Here is a 15,528-nt window from a genome sequence, read left to right as displayed (position 1 = left end):
AGTTGGTGAGGGTTGAAAAATTACCTACTGGGTACAATGTAAACTATTTTGGTAAAGGGTTCAATGGAAGCCCAAACCTCATCATTATGCAATATACATAAATGACATCGTCTTTGGGATCAGGCTTCCCTGGGCTGGGATCTCACCTCCACCATTGACCAGCATGTGGAACTTTGGGTGAGCCATTTCCTTTCCCTAAGCCCTGCTTCCTCCTCTGCAAGGTGAATATGATAATCCCATGTACCCCACTGATTTATTGTGAGGATTAAATAAATTAATCCATGTGATGTGATTAGAGTATCAGGATGTAGTTGAAGCTCAATCAATAACTATTCTTTCTAGAGTGCACGGGGGTAGAAAGTGGCTTAAGATTGAAGGCAGGATGCCAATTTTTATATATTTATTTAAGACAGAGTCTCACTCTGTTGCCCAGGCTGGGATGCAGTGGTATGACCTTGGCTCACTGCAACCTCTGCCTCCTGGGTTCAAGCAATTCTCGTGCCTCAGCCTCCCGAGTAGCTGAGATTACAGGTGCACACCAGCACACCTGGCTAATTTTTGTATTTTTAGTAGAGATGGGGTTTCACCATGTTGGCCAGGCTGGTCTTGGACTCCTGACCTCAAGTGATCCACCCACCCCAGCCTCCCAAAGTGCTGGGATTACAGGCATGAGTCACTGAACCCGGTCAAATTCTTATATTTTTTTTTTAGTAGAGACGGGGTTTCATGGTGTTGGTCAGGCTGGTCTCGAATGCCTGACCTCAAGTGATCCACCTGCCTTGGCCTTCCAAACTGCTGGGATTACAGATGTGAACCAGGGATGCCAGCTGAAAGGAGGTAATGAAACATGACAGGAACATGATCTGGCATAGTGATTGGGTGATGGACAGAAGATGAATTAGTTCCTACCTAAATTGAATTGACTCAGGAAGTTTAAATTCTCCAGACTCCTGGCAGCAAAATATCCAGTTCTCCAAATAGAGGAGCCACCTCTGGATTTCCTACCCCTTTGATGTCTAGACAGTCCCACGGAGGAAGAGTCCACCAGCTACAACCTCCTTGACAGTATGACCCCACCATGTGAGAGCATTTTGTTCGGAAAAAGTTAATTAAATGTGGATCCACCATAGGAAATTACATCTTAATCTCATTCTGCTTTCTGTTTCCCTATTCCTTTCCACAGTTTGATTTCTGTTCTGAGAAAGAGGGGTTACAAATGACCTGCTTGGAGACCCAATAACAATTTAATAGAGTGGAGATTCATTAAGACAGTGCTGATGGCGACTGAAGTATCTGGAAGAAAGAAATGGCCCAGAGGATTTCAATTCTCTACCAGTTTTCTGATCTCAATTTAGGAGGCAGAATTAAGTTCTGGAAAGCTCAGAACAGAACACAATAATGGAATGATTGGCTTTTAATCACTGGTAGAATCATGGGAAGTTGGTAGACTCCTAGCCTTATCATTTTATTTTCCATTTTAAAAGGAAGTTTCTGCGTTAGTAGCACACAGCCTGATGTGGATGCTATTTTGTTTCATTTAAAAAACATATTCGTGGCCAGGCATGGTGACTCACGCCTGTAATCCCAGCAACTCTGGGAGGCCGAGGCAGGCGGATCACCTGAGGTCAGGAGTTCAAGACCAGCCTGGCCAGCATGACGAAAACCCATCTCTACTAAAAATACAAAAATTAGCCTGGTGTGGTGGTGTGCACCTGTAATCCCAGCTACTCGGGAGGCTGAGGGAGGAAAATTGCTTGAACCTGGGAGGTGGAGGTTGTAATGAGCCGAAATCGGGCCATTGCACTCCAGCCTGGGTGAAAGAGTGAAACTCCATCTCAAAATAATAATAATAATAATAATAATAATAATAATAAATAATAATAAACATATTCAAAGATATTTTAAAAATATTAGCTATGTGCCATAACAGTGCCAGGTATTGGGAATACAAATCTAGACCAGGCATTCATGGAGCTTACTTTTAGGGAAATCCAGACAATCAAGAAAGTACTAGGCAAATTGTGACAATTACTAAAAAAAAATGAGCCAACTTCTTGCTTAGCTGAAGGAAATGGATCCCAATTTTAAACACAATTCTCAGAGTTGCTTGTCTTTTTTCCTGGATTGTAAGCACATGGAGCAGCCAGACAATTTCACATCCAACTCTGGCCATTTTTGAAGCTGACTTAGGTTGATTAAGAGCCATGAGTTGATGGCCCAAAGTTATTTCCTTTCTTATGCATCCAGGAAGTCAGTGCTCAGGAGAAGAAAAGAGAAACCTGGCCGGGCGCGGTGGCTCACCCCTGTAATCCCAGCACTTTGGGAGGCCAAGGCGGGCAGATCTCGAGGTCAGAAGGACACTAACTCAACATAATAAAGACCATATAAGAAAAGCCCACATCGGGCCCGGCACGGTGGCTCACGCCTGTAATCCCAGCACTTTGGGAGGCCAAGGTGGGTGGATCATGAGGTCAGGAGATCAAGACCATCCTGGCTAACACGGTGAAACCCCGTCTCTACTAAAAATACAAAAAATTAGCCAGGCGTGGTGGCGGGCCCCTGTAGTCCCAGCTACTCGGGAGGCTGAGGCAGGAGAATGGCGTGAACCCGGGAGGCGGAGCTTGCAGTGAGCCGAGATCGCTCCACTGCACTCCAGCCTGGCCAGATAGTGTCTGTACCACTGACTAGCTGGGTGATCTTTAACCTTTCCACGTCTCTGTTTCAAAACGTGATAATAGTAACTATTCCTCAGGGCTGTTACGAGAATTAAATAAGATGATGATGCATATGAAGTCTTAGCAAAGTGTCTGATACATATGACACACTTAAGAACATAATATTGCCGTTAAAAAGAGGCAGGAGTGTTATATTACTGAGCTGGTTTCTGAGCAGCAGCAACTGGCAGAAGAGGTAGTCGTTTCATACGCAGCTTGGCTAACTCCTAGCAATATGAGCCTGGGCAGTTCAATTCCCTTCTCTAAGCCCCGGGTTCCTCCTCTGTAAAGTAGGGATTAATGATGACTATCTTTCTGGGGCTGTAGTTAGAATATAAACAAATAAGCCAGACACGGTGCCTCACGCCTGTAATCCCAGCATTTTGGGAGGTCAAGGTGGGTGGATCATGAGGTCCGGAGTTCGAAAGCAGCCTGGATAAGATGGTGAAACCCCATCTCTAATTCAAAAAATGCAAAAATTAGCTGGGTGTGTTCCCGTGTGCCAGTAATCCCAGCTACTCAGGAGGCTGAGGCAGGAGAATCGCTTAAACCTTGGAGGCGGAGGTTGCAGTGAGCCGAGATCATGCTACTGCACTCTAACCTGGATGAAAGAGCAAGACTCCATCTCAAAAAAATAAAAAAGAATAAAAAAGAATATAAACAAATATATGTAAAACATCTAGCATAATAGCCAGTCCATATCATGGTCCTTGATACACGGTGTCATCATCATTATCATCATTCTTTGGATTGGTTATTGTTTTTGCTACTTGGCTGGCTTTTGTTATTTTGATCTATTGCAAGCTTTGTTGCCTGGAAGCAGAGCTTGCAACAGAAAATCTTATGCCCGTGTTTTATTAAGGGCATGCTCTCTGGACAAATGAGTAATGCATTAAGGGAAGCAGATGAGGCAGGACAGGAAGGGATGTAAAGAAGTGCTTTCAGGTGAAGTTTGGACTAAGCCTGATCACTTTGGAGCATGAATTATAGCACAGGGTTTGTCCTACCCAGAAGTCAGGTAGCTGCACTTAATATGCCCATATCCATCAGACACAGGTTATTGGCCACTCTCAGGAGAAGGACATAATTCCCCAGGCACAACTGGGTAGAAGGCTCCTATCAATAGCAAGTGATTCTACAGGGAAGAATGCAGTAGGGTCTATGGATCAGGAGCTGGAAGATGGATGCACTGGGTTTGTGTTGAGGATCTGGGCAAGGCACTGGCAGCATCTACTGCACTTTTTTTTTTTAAGCTGGAGTCTCGCTCTGTCGCCCAGGCTGGAGTGCAGTGGCGCGATCTCGGCTCACTGCAACCTCCGCCTCCCAAGTTCAAGTGATTCTCCTGCCTCAGCCTCTCAAGTAGCTGAGACAACAGGAGCTCGCTGCTACGCCTGGCTAATTTTTTGCATTTTTAGTAGAGACGGGTTTTCACCGTGTTGCCCAGGTTGGTGTCTAACTCCTGAGCTCAGGTGATCCACCCACCTTGACCTCCCAAAGTGCCGGGATTACAGGCGTGAGCCACCGTGCCCGGCTACTGCACTCTTTTAATGCAGTTTGATTTTCCCTTGGGAGACGCTTGCCTTACTTTCAACCACACCCCAACCCTGGAGGCTTGTGACCTGGGACCTGGACAAAGAGACTTTGTTCCAGTTTGTCCAAGCTTCAAGATATGAGAGAGGTGATGCATAGGTGGTCACCAAATTAGGAAACCATGTTGAAGAACAAATGTTGCCTATTAGAGGGACTCTTTTAAATGTTCAGGATGCTCACAGTCTTTGCCAACTTGAATGTCCTTGGAAGCTCCAGTCTGGCTGTAAGGAGGTGATGAGGAGTTCTGCGTGTTAGAGGCAATGAAGATTTGCCTGTCCACAGTCATTGGTTCAGGGATGATCATGTAACCTAATGAGAATCAGTGAGATACAAGGAAACTTTGCTAATAATATTGAGAAAGAGCTGCAAAGTCATTTCTGAAAGTATTGCTAGCAATTATTAGCCAGGGGGCAAACATGGATCCTGACACAGAAGCCAGCCAAACAGACAGCAGAGACAAGAGAAAGAGATAAATAAGAGGGTCCTCAAATAAGTCCCTGGATCAAGACGTGCCTGAAATTTACCCTTACACTTTCAATTTTTTTCTCTTTTGCTGAATTCATTGAGCTGAGAGTTTTGGGTACCTGCAACAGAGTCCTGACTGATATTATTTCTTTTCTTTTTTTTCTTTTTTTTTTGAGATGGAGTCTTGCTCTGTCACCCAGGCTGGAGTGCAGTGGCTCCATCTTGGCTCACTGCAACCTCCACCTCCCAGGTTCAAGTGATTCTCTTGCCTCAGCCTCCCAAGTAGCTGGGATTACAGGCGCCCACCACCACGCCCAGCTAATTTTTTATTTTTGGTAGAGACGGGGTTTCACCATGTTGGTCAGGCTATTCTCGTACTCCTGACCTCAGGCAATCTGCCTGCCTTGGCCTCCCAAAGTGCTAGGATTACAGAGTTGAGGCACTGCACCTGGCCTAATATTATTTCTATAATGAACTCAGAAGCACTACGTAAATTAGAAGCAGTCAATCAATTTATAGAATCATTGTTGTTATGTATATAGAGTCCTCTTTTGACTGAGTGAGCAGAGACATCCAAGCCAGGGTAGCTTTTCTAATTGGGTTTTTATTGTCTCAGATAGAGAAGTACATTAGGCAGCTCCAAGGACACTAAGGCTGCCCCTAGCTCTAAAGAAATGTTTTCCCAGCCAGCTTTCCATGACAGCAGAGGTCTGGGTTCTAGCAACGTGACCTTCAAACAAAATGGCCATTGAAAGGCTGACAGCCCAAACCATTCCAGAGCAAGGAATGAAATCACTGCTCAAGGAAAGGCAGGCAAAAGTGGAGTGGGGTAGACAAATCGACAGCATCTTTATGGACAGAAGCTGTTCATTAACAAAATAAAACCATTTTAATCCACACAAACACACTTACTGATAAGGTAAAATGCATTGGTCTTGGTTGTTATTAGCATTATGTAAAAGGTTTATTGTATTTTCATTTACATTTCTTACTCTTCTTAAGAAAACTTTATTTTCTATACTAACACAGTGTACACTTGTGATAGAGAGAGGTAGAGAAATTCTAGGCAGACAGGCAAGTTCCCAGCAAAACCCCATTTTCCAGCTGAAAACCCTGAAACCTGTGGCCCAAAGTGAGAAATTCCATCCCTGTGTAACTGCTCTCTCCCAATTGGTTCTTTCCAAATAATGTCTTCTCACCAATCAGATGTTGCCTTTTCCAAAACTACCTATGGCCTGCCCCACCCCCATCTTTTGCCTATAAAGACCCCAGACTCAGTTGGCAGAGAAAGAGAGAGAGAGAAAGAAAGAGAGAGAGAGAAAGAAAGAGAGAGAGAGAAGCAGCTGGACAGTGAAGAGAGACAACTTGACTTCAGAGGTGGTGGCTGGATCGGCAGAGAAGCAACTTGACTTCAAAGGAGAGCGACCTGCCCTTCCCGTCCCCTCTCCAGCTCCCCTGTCTTCTGAGAGCTGCTTTCATTGCTCAGTGAATTCTTGCATTCACCGTCCTTCAATTTGTCTGCATGACCTCATTCCTCCTGGGCACTAGACAAGAATTCAGGACACACCAAGTATGGATACCCAAAAAACCTTTCACACTGGCCCTTTGCCCTTGCTGACAGAGGGCAGCCACCCTACATGATGAGACAAAGGGCCCACTGAGCTGATCACACACTCCTGTCTGCAGACAGCAGAGCTGAAAGAGCATTGTAACTCACCCTCTGGGGCCTTGGGGTTGCAGGCACCCCTACCTGTATGCTGCTGTGGGACCTGCACAGAGTTTGCTCCTGCCAGTGCTAAAGCAGTTGGCCAGTTCCTGTGCTTGTTCGCCTACGCACTCCCTCCCGTGAGGGGTTGAGTGGGGCAGGGTGAGTAAACAGGGCACCCCGTCACGAGTCCCGTGAAGAGGTTAAGAAAATATCCTGCATCAATTATGTTTCCCACTGGCCTCAAATTGCAAGATCTCAAAGCTTTACGCATGCAGTCACAAAAGAGACACCCACAAAAATCTGTGGACACACAAAAAAAGGTGTTTTAGTGAGCCATTAACACATTTCCATTAGAATGAGCTTAGTTTGTAGCCTTTCCAGACAAAAGAACATCTTTTCTGTGCATCAGTTTTAAAACGTTTATAATGCTTTTTCTCTTAGTTGAAGGATTTTTCCAGCTTAAGAATGGGGATGCCAAAGGCAATTTGGGAGGATGTTTGGAGAAATGAGAAGTCCAAAGCCACAAGGGGAAGACTTTTGAGGAGGGACAGCCAAAACCAGTGGAGTGATAGATAAGAAGCCTAGCCAAGAAATGACAGGAAGGAAAAAGGAACCTGTGGGTGAGACAGTGTAGAGAGAAGGGGAGGAACAAAAGGGTGAATATGGATTCCAGTTATGTGGGGCCTGCCTGCCTGGCTGATTGGAGCAAACTGGCTGACCATGGCCAGCATGTGGTACTCCAGGCTGGGGCTGGTGTGGCCAAGATATATATTAATAATTTCTTCCCCCAGCATTTTCCAAAGTGCAGTTCAGGGACCCCCTACCTTAGCATGTTCTTAGACCTTACCTACTGCCACTTAATCAGCATCTCTGTGCCTGGAACTGGGGTTTGGATTTTTTTTTACAACTTTATTGAGGTGTAATTTACATATAGTAACTTTGCATATTTGAAGTATACAATTTAGTGTTTTTGGACAGTATCATTATTATCATGCACCTGTAAACTTATTGCCACAATCAAGATCATGAGCATATGCAGAACTCTCAAAAGTTGCCTTGTGTCCTATCCTCAGAAAACTATGAATCTGCTCTCTCTGTATCAGTTCATAATTTCCTAGAATGTTGTGTACATAGATTAATATAACATTAACATGTACTCTATTGTCTGATTTGTTTCAATTAGCATAGTTATGGTTAGCATCTATTGAAATTCGCATACATTATTGTATGTTATAACAGTGGATAAACTTTTTTGCTGAGGTGTCTCCCATGTTATGGACACACTGCACTTTGTGGTGCACTCTGAGCTCTGAGCACTCCGAGCTCTCCTTTAGCTGTATTCCACAAAATTTGATATGTTTTATTTTGTTTGATTCAGTTCAAAATACTCTGCTCTCTCTGTATCAGTTCATAATTTCCTAGAATGTTGTGTACATAGATTAATATAATATTAACATATACTCTTTTGTCTGATTTATTTCAATTAGCATAGTTATGGTTAGCATCTATTGAAATTCACATACATTGTTGTATGTTATAATAGTGGATAAACTTTTTTGCTGATGTGTCTCCCATGTTATGGACACACCACACTTTGTGGTGCACTCCGAGCTCTGAGCACGCCGAGCTCTCCTTTAGCTGTATTCCACAAATTTTGATATGTTTTATTTTCTTTGATTCAGTTCAAAATACTCTGTAGCTTCTTTGAGCAATTTTGTTTTGTTTAGAGGTTTGTTAGTTTTCCAAATATGTGGAGATGTTCCAGGTATCTTTTTTGTTACTAATTTCTTTTTGTTACACAGTTTAATTCAGTTGTGATCAGATAATATACTTTTCATTAAAATCTATTCATCAAAAACATCTATCTAGTTTTTATGGCCAGGTACAGTGTATTTTGGTAAATGTTCTGTGTGTACTGGAAAAGAATGTATATTCTGCTTTTGTTGGCTGGAGTGTTCTATAAATGTCAATTTGGTCAAGTTGGTTCAAAGAGTTATTTCACTTATTCTGTTCTATATCCTTGCTGATTTTCTGTCTACATGTTTTATCGATTGTTTAGTGAGAGCTTTTGAACACTTTCATTACATTTGAGAATTTCTCCTTTATGTTTTGTCAGCTTTTTATTCATGTATTTTGAAGGTTTGTTATAACCTGCATCCACATTTGGAATTTTTATAACTTCTTGTTGAATTGATTCCTTTATCACAATGAATTTACCCTTCTTTTTCTCTGGTAATATTCTTTGTTTAATATTGTTACGGCTACTCAGGGTTTTTTTTGCTTAGTGTTAACCTTGTATATTTTTTCATTTTTTCGCTTTTATCCTATTTGAGCATATATATATATTATATCTTTTTTTTTTTTTGAGATGGAGTTTTGCTCTTGTTGCCCAGACTGGAGTGCAATGGCGTGATCTCAGCTCACCTCCCGCTTCTGAGTTCAAGCGATTCTCCTGCCTCAGCCTCCTGAGTAGCTGGGATTACAGACATGTACCACCATGCCTGGATAATTTTTTGTATTTTCAGTAGAGATGGGATTTCTCCATGTTGGTCAGGCTGGTCTCGAACTCTTGACCTCAGGTGATCCGCCCGCCTTGGCCTCCCAAAGTGCTGGGATTACAGGTGTGAGCCACCACACCCAGCCAAGTATTTAGATTAAGGTGAATTTTTGTAGGCAGGTTTCAGTGGGATTTTGCCTCTTTAGCCAATCTGACGATCTGCGTCTTTTAACTGGGGTACTTAACCCACTTACATTTAATGTGATCATTTACATAGTTGGAGTCAGATCTTCCATATTGCTATTGGTGTCCCATTTATTTCCTCTTTTTCCTATTATTCTGCCTTCTTTTGGTTTAATTGAGTTTTTTTTATGATTCCATTTGTCTCTTTGTTAGCTTGTTAGTGATAACATTTTGGGTTTCCTTTTTAATGGTTGCCTTCAGTTTATAGTATACATTTTTAATTTATCATAGCCTACCTTCAGATAAATCTCCATATAATATAAGAATCTTGGCTGGGCACAGTGGCTCACACCTGTAATCCCAGCATTTGGGAAGCTGAGACAGGAGGATTGCTTAGGGCCAGGAGTTTGAGACCAGCCTGGCCAACATGGTGAAACCCCATCTCTACTAAAAAATACAAAAATTAGCCAGATGTGGTAGTGCATGCCTGTAGTCCCAGATACTCAGGAGGCTGAGGAAGGAGAATTGCTTGAACTCCAGAGGTGAAGGTTGCAATGAGCCAAAATTGTGGCACTGCACTTGTCTGAGCGACAGAGCAAGACTCTGTTGCAAAAAAAAAAAAAAAAAAAAAAAAAAAAGAATCTAACTACAGAATATTTCCATCTCCCTTTGTGCTACTTTTGTCATATATTATAATTCTACATATGTTGTAAACCCCATAATAAATTCTCATTATTTTAATTGTCTTTAAAGAGATTTTGAAAAGGAGAGCAAAAGATAAGAAAAATAAGATAAGAGAAAATAAGTATAGAAAGATAAAGAAATAAAGAAAATAAAGATAAAGAAATAAAGAAAAATCAGATAAGAAAAACATCAGAAATGGTAAATGTATAGGCAAATATACATTTGCCTATACATTTACCATTTCTGATGTTCTTCACTCTTTTGTGTAGATTCAAATTCTTCTGCTATCACTTTTATTCTGCCTAAAAAAAATTATTTAACATTTCTTTATCTACAACATTTCTTGCAGTATAGATCTGGTAAATTCTTTCAGCCTTTGTATCTGTAAAAATGTCGTTTATTTTTGAAATACATTTTCACTGCGTTTAGAATTCAAGGTTAACAAATTTTGTTGTTGTTGTTGTACTTTAAGAATGTTGCTGAACAGTCTTCTGGCTTGAGTTATTTCCACTAAGAAGTCTCCTGTTATTCATATCTTTGACCATCTGTACGTCTTTATTCTCTTTCTGGTTTAATTTTTTTTGGTTTCTCACTGGTTTTAATAATATGGTTACGATATGCCATTGCATAATTTTCTTCATGATTCTTGTGTTTTGGTTTCATTATTTCATTCATCTTGAAATTCTTGGTTTATAGATTTCTTCAAATTTTGAATTTTTTGCTATTATTTCTTCAAATATGTCTTTTTTACCCCCATTTTCTTTTGGGATTATAATTACACATTTCTTAGGCCATATAAACCTCTCCCACAGTATACTGATGCTCTGTTGATCTTCTGTCTTTTTTTCTCTCTGGTTTTATTTTGAATAGTTTCTATTTCTGTCTTTAATTTTTCTCTCTGCTGCATTTAATTCACTAATTGTTCCCTCCATTACATCTAAATTCACTAACGTTTTCCTCTGTTGCCCCTCTGTTGCATTCCCTCTTTTCCTTTCTAGAAGTTTGAGTTGGGTCTTTTAAAATGTCTTGTCACTTCACATAGTGGAGCTTTTCTATGTGGAATATAGCAACAACAGCTGTTTTGTTTTCCTTGTCTGCTTAGTCTCTCGTCTGTGTCATTTTTGGTTCTCTTTTATTGAATTTTTTTTTCTCATTATGGGTGATATTTTCCTACCTCTTTGTATACCTGGAAATTTTTATTGTAATCAGCCACTTTGAATTTTACCTTGTTGGGTGCTGAATATTTTTGTAACCCTAAAAATACTTTTGAGCTTTGTTCTGGGACATAAATTTACCAGTACACAGTTTGATGCTTTCCGGGCTTACTTTTAAGTTTTGCTAAAGAGGTCCCTTCGTCCAGGGCTGACATTTCTACACTATTAATATGATACTCTTTTGAGTACTCTACCTCATATCCCTTGAATTATGAGGTTTTAACTCTCCAGCTTGCAGAAACATAAACTATTCCTGGCTGTATGTCAGCTTGGAGAATTGTTCTGAGGTTGAACTTTTGACAGGACTCCAGAGGACTTTTAGGTACATCTAGTTGTGAACTTTGTCCTTGGAAATCTGAGGATATTGATAGAAACCCAGAGGTGGTCAGGACCAGAACACTAGTTAAGAAAGTTAGGAGACTCCTAAGCTACTTTCGGATCCGAGGAGCCTCAAGTCTGTGGAAGTTGTTTGAATACTATTTTATTATTTAAATAGAGGGATGAGGGTTATTTATCATGTTGTTTCCAGTAGACTTCTGTTTTAAGCCCAGGTGTCAGATAGGCTTCATGAATATAGCACATGAAGTGGCTTAGATAAGACTGGAATAAGCTATTCTAATTGCTGATGCAGTCATTTCTTCCTGTTAAGCTCTTGGGGACCTGTTTTTAGATGGCCTGGGAGGCAGGAGCCACTGGACATGCAGGGACCAAAGGAAAGACTGTGAACTTAGATATGCCATTATTAATACCTAACACTGCATATTCAGCTGATGCACAGAAAGACTCCTTATCATCTGCTTCGCAGTGAAGACTACCTCTTGGGAAATGGCTAATTAACTTGCAATTGAACCACATGCTCTCTAGGCTTTAGGGTCCATGCCTAGACCTTTATTTACCCACCAAACTCAGGTATCATTCTGGAACAACCAATCTGTACCCATTATCCCACTGTCTCCACAGGTCTTAATCACACAAAGAGAACAGTTGATGAGGCAACTTGACTTATTCCAATGTATTAACATCAAAAATGCATTAGAATTTTATTTGCAACTTATTAAAAATGTATTTGATTGTAAGATCCATGAAAGTAAGGATTTTGTCTGTTTTATCTACTTTCATATCTTCAGAAGCTAGAGTGGTGCTTACCACATAGTAGTTGCTTAGCTAATTGTTGTTGAATGACTGATTTTTAAAAGTTACACAATAGTTCATGCTAATTGTTGCAAGTCAAATAACACAGAGTGATATATAAAGAAATTCAATAACTAGTCTCCCTGAACTCCAAATTCCACTGCTACCAAATTAGATAGCCAATGTTTACTTTTGGTATTATTTATCTTTTCTCATTTTTTCACAATGCTCAGACAAATATATGAAAAATACACATTTTCATTGCTTGTTCTCTTACTTATTCATTTCTTCTTTTCTCTTTTTTCTTTTCTCCCTTTCTCCTTTCTTTGCTTTTTTATTTAATACATTAAGGATGTCTATCTATCCTGATGAATCTCAACCCTGATTGTACATTGGAATCACGTGGGGGGGTTTCAAACAATTCCAGTAATTGAGCACATCAAAGACCAATTGAATCACTTTGGGCAGAGACATTTTTCAAAGCTCTTTAGATGAGTCTTATGTATAGCCAGGGTTGACAGCCCCTACTCTGGACCAAATATACACAGACATAACTCATCCATTTTAATACCTGCATAATAATTTATAGTAAGGATATACCAGGATGTATTTACCTGCTTCTGTATTCATGTTCGTTTAAGTGGTGCCTGATTTCTTTGCTTTATGCTGTGTAGTTTGGAGCAGATGGTTTCATTACTAAACTATTTTCTCCAAGGGTCATACCTTTTATCATTTTATGATCTCTCATTTTGAAAACTTTATGCCTTTGGCCTTAAATTGCATTCTGTCTGACGGTACTATTACCAATCATGCTTGCAATTGTTGCTTTTGCATTTTCCCAGTGAATCTTTACCTGTTCATTTATTCAGAAACTTTTGTTGTCATTTGTTTTTGGCATAAACAGCATGTAGCTGGAATTTTTAAAAAGCCCTTATCTGAAAATCTTTGCCTTCTTATAACAGTATTTGCATTTTAAATAAGAATCCAAAAGTACCATAAAAGTCTTCGAGCCTCAAATTAATGGGATCATGGTGGGGGTTTAGGCACCACGCCAGCTTGACAGGGGAGCAGGATGACCACCCCTCCCCACTCTCCCAACCCTCTCAGTTCTCTGCATATGCCGCTGTCTCATAAGGCACTTCTTACTGCAAATGCAAATCGCAAATGTAAACTGTTTCTTTCTTAATTTTATCACTTTTTCCCTCCTAATTTACAGGAGGCTTAAATTATTAGAACTTGTCTAAACAATGCAGCTTCCCCTGGTATCTCTGAGGAGGTGCTGCCGATAACTTTCAAATGGTATCACCCCTGAAAGCACAAGTCCAAAGCACTCACTTCATCGTGGGCCGTGTTAAGAAAGCGTTTGAATAGTTCAGAGCGACCCACACTCCGCCACATTTATAAAGTGCAAATAAAGAAGAAAATCAGAAACTTCTTTTCTTGTCTAGGACTCTTAAAACTCTTTGTATTCCCTAGATACTTGATATGTCACATCCATAGGCATGGGAAGGGATGCGGAAGTTGTTTCCTAAAGGAGCTGAAGCATCAAAATCTCTCCAGGATCTCCTTTTATCATATCCTCAGCAGCAAATTAAGCATCTGTGGGGAAATTATTAACTCCCTGCCTTATCTTTCAGCAGCTCTGCACAGAAACATTTATTAAATACTTAGTGACGGACACTATAGTAAGCACCTGAACACATTATTTTAATCATTGCCAGAACTCTATTAGGTAAGCCCTGATAGTTTCCCATTCTATAGATGAGGAAACTGAGGTTCAGAGAAGTGACATCACTTGCCCACAGTGACCCAGCAAGGCAGACAAGGAGCAGAGATTTCACCCCAGGTCTGCATGAGCTCATCCCTTTACTCCCTAATGATAACCTAATTCAACGTAACATGAATGACCCGTCATGGTCTTGAAACCATCCCTGAAAAAACTTTATAAAATTGATGAAGTGGGTTGGATGTGGTGGCTCATGCTTGTAATCCCAGCAATTTGGGAGGCTGAGGCAGGTGGATCACCTGAGGTCAGAATTTGAGACCAGCCTGGCCAATATGGTGAAACTCCGTCTTTACTAAAGATACAAAAATTAGCCGGGCATGGTAGTGCACACCTGTAATCCCAGCTACTCAGGAGGCTGAGGCAGGAGAATCATTTGAACCCAGGAGGCAGAGGTTGCAGTGAGCTGAGATCGTGCCACTACACTCCAGCCTGGGTGACAGAGCTAGACTCTATCTCAAAAAACAAATAAATACATAAAATAAAATAATAAAATCGATGAAGCGGAAAAAGCAAAATTCACCCAGGCTTGCAGCACAGTCAGCAGTAATCCTTAAGACAGCTTGCCCTTTGGTCCATTTCCTTGTAGTTGGTCACTGTTTACTATCCGAAGGTAACAGACCTTGTCACAAGATCCTTTGTTTCTATTCTGTTCTATAGATGAAATCGAAGACATTGTAAAAAAATAAGCTTTCTGCTCGAGTTTCTCCTTTAGGTTCCACTTAATAAAACCACCCACACCAGATGGTCTGAAGGGCCCAGCAAAGAGATGACTCGTAGAAGAATACAGTTTCCATATCCTGATAATTTCATCCCCATTACCCCAACCAATTGACAACTCCAATTTTCTACCTCCTTGCCCTTCATGATCCCCTTAAAAATCCTTGCCCAGAAATTCTTGAGCAAATGGATCTGAGACTTGAGAATTCCTTCCATTTCCTTGCTTCACGTGGCCTTGTGATTATTAAACTCTTCTCGCTGCAAATCCTACCGTCTCAGTGTATTGGTTTGTTGCTGCCCAGTGGACATATGAACCTGTTAGTCCTACAACAATCTGGCCCCTGCCAACTTCTCCTGTCTAATCTGGGCCCCCAGCTCCCCCTGCAACCTGTGCTCCAGCCATACCTCATGTCCCTCTAATATGCTTTGCTGTTTGACCCTCCTGTTACCTTGTTCACACTGTTCACACTGCCTGGAAGTGACCATTGCACTTCAGGAAGAAGTGTGTTGGAGTTCTCATACACTTTACAGCATCCTGTGCTTCTATATCTCCCCTCCCTAACTCCCTCTAGAGTGTGAGCTCTCTGAGGGCAGGGACTACATCTCACTCACCTCTGTATCCTAAACACCCAGCATTGTGCCTGGCACGCAGCAGATGCTCAATAATAAATTGGATGCTCTCCCTCAAACTTTTTCTTTCTCTCCACTGTGAAAAAAAACCCAACTCCTTCTGAGCTGTCGCTTCTTTCTTCAGACACATAGGAGAGGCACGTTTATTTCTATCACCATATTGGTTTTCACTTATATTGTTGGCCTTCAACACTAAGTTGTCTGTAACA

General features: G+C 41.1%; 1 annotated feature.

The window, feature by feature from the left end:
* Window positions 1,945-2,503: an enhancer, noted in NCBI's record as "OCT4-NANOG hESC enhancer chr16:13677141-13677699 (GRCh37/hg19 assembly coordinates)". NCBI's record gives its function as "activates a minimal SCP1, AML or CMV promoter by ChIP-STARR-seq in primed H9 embryonic stem cells {active_cell/tissue: H9 hESC(primed)}" and the evidence as "EXISTENCE:reporter gene assay evidence [ECO:0000049][PMID:30033119]".

Source organism: Homo sapiens, chromosome 16 (assembly GCF_000001405.40).
Source record: "Homo sapiens chromosome 16, GRCh38.p14 Primary Assembly".
Classification (NCBI taxonomy): domain Eukaryota; kingdom Metazoa; phylum Chordata; class Mammalia; order Primates; family Hominidae; genus Homo; species Homo sapiens.
The sequence above is the reverse complement of the archived record's forward strand: the minus strand, read 5'-3'. Positions and strand labels throughout refer to the sequence as shown.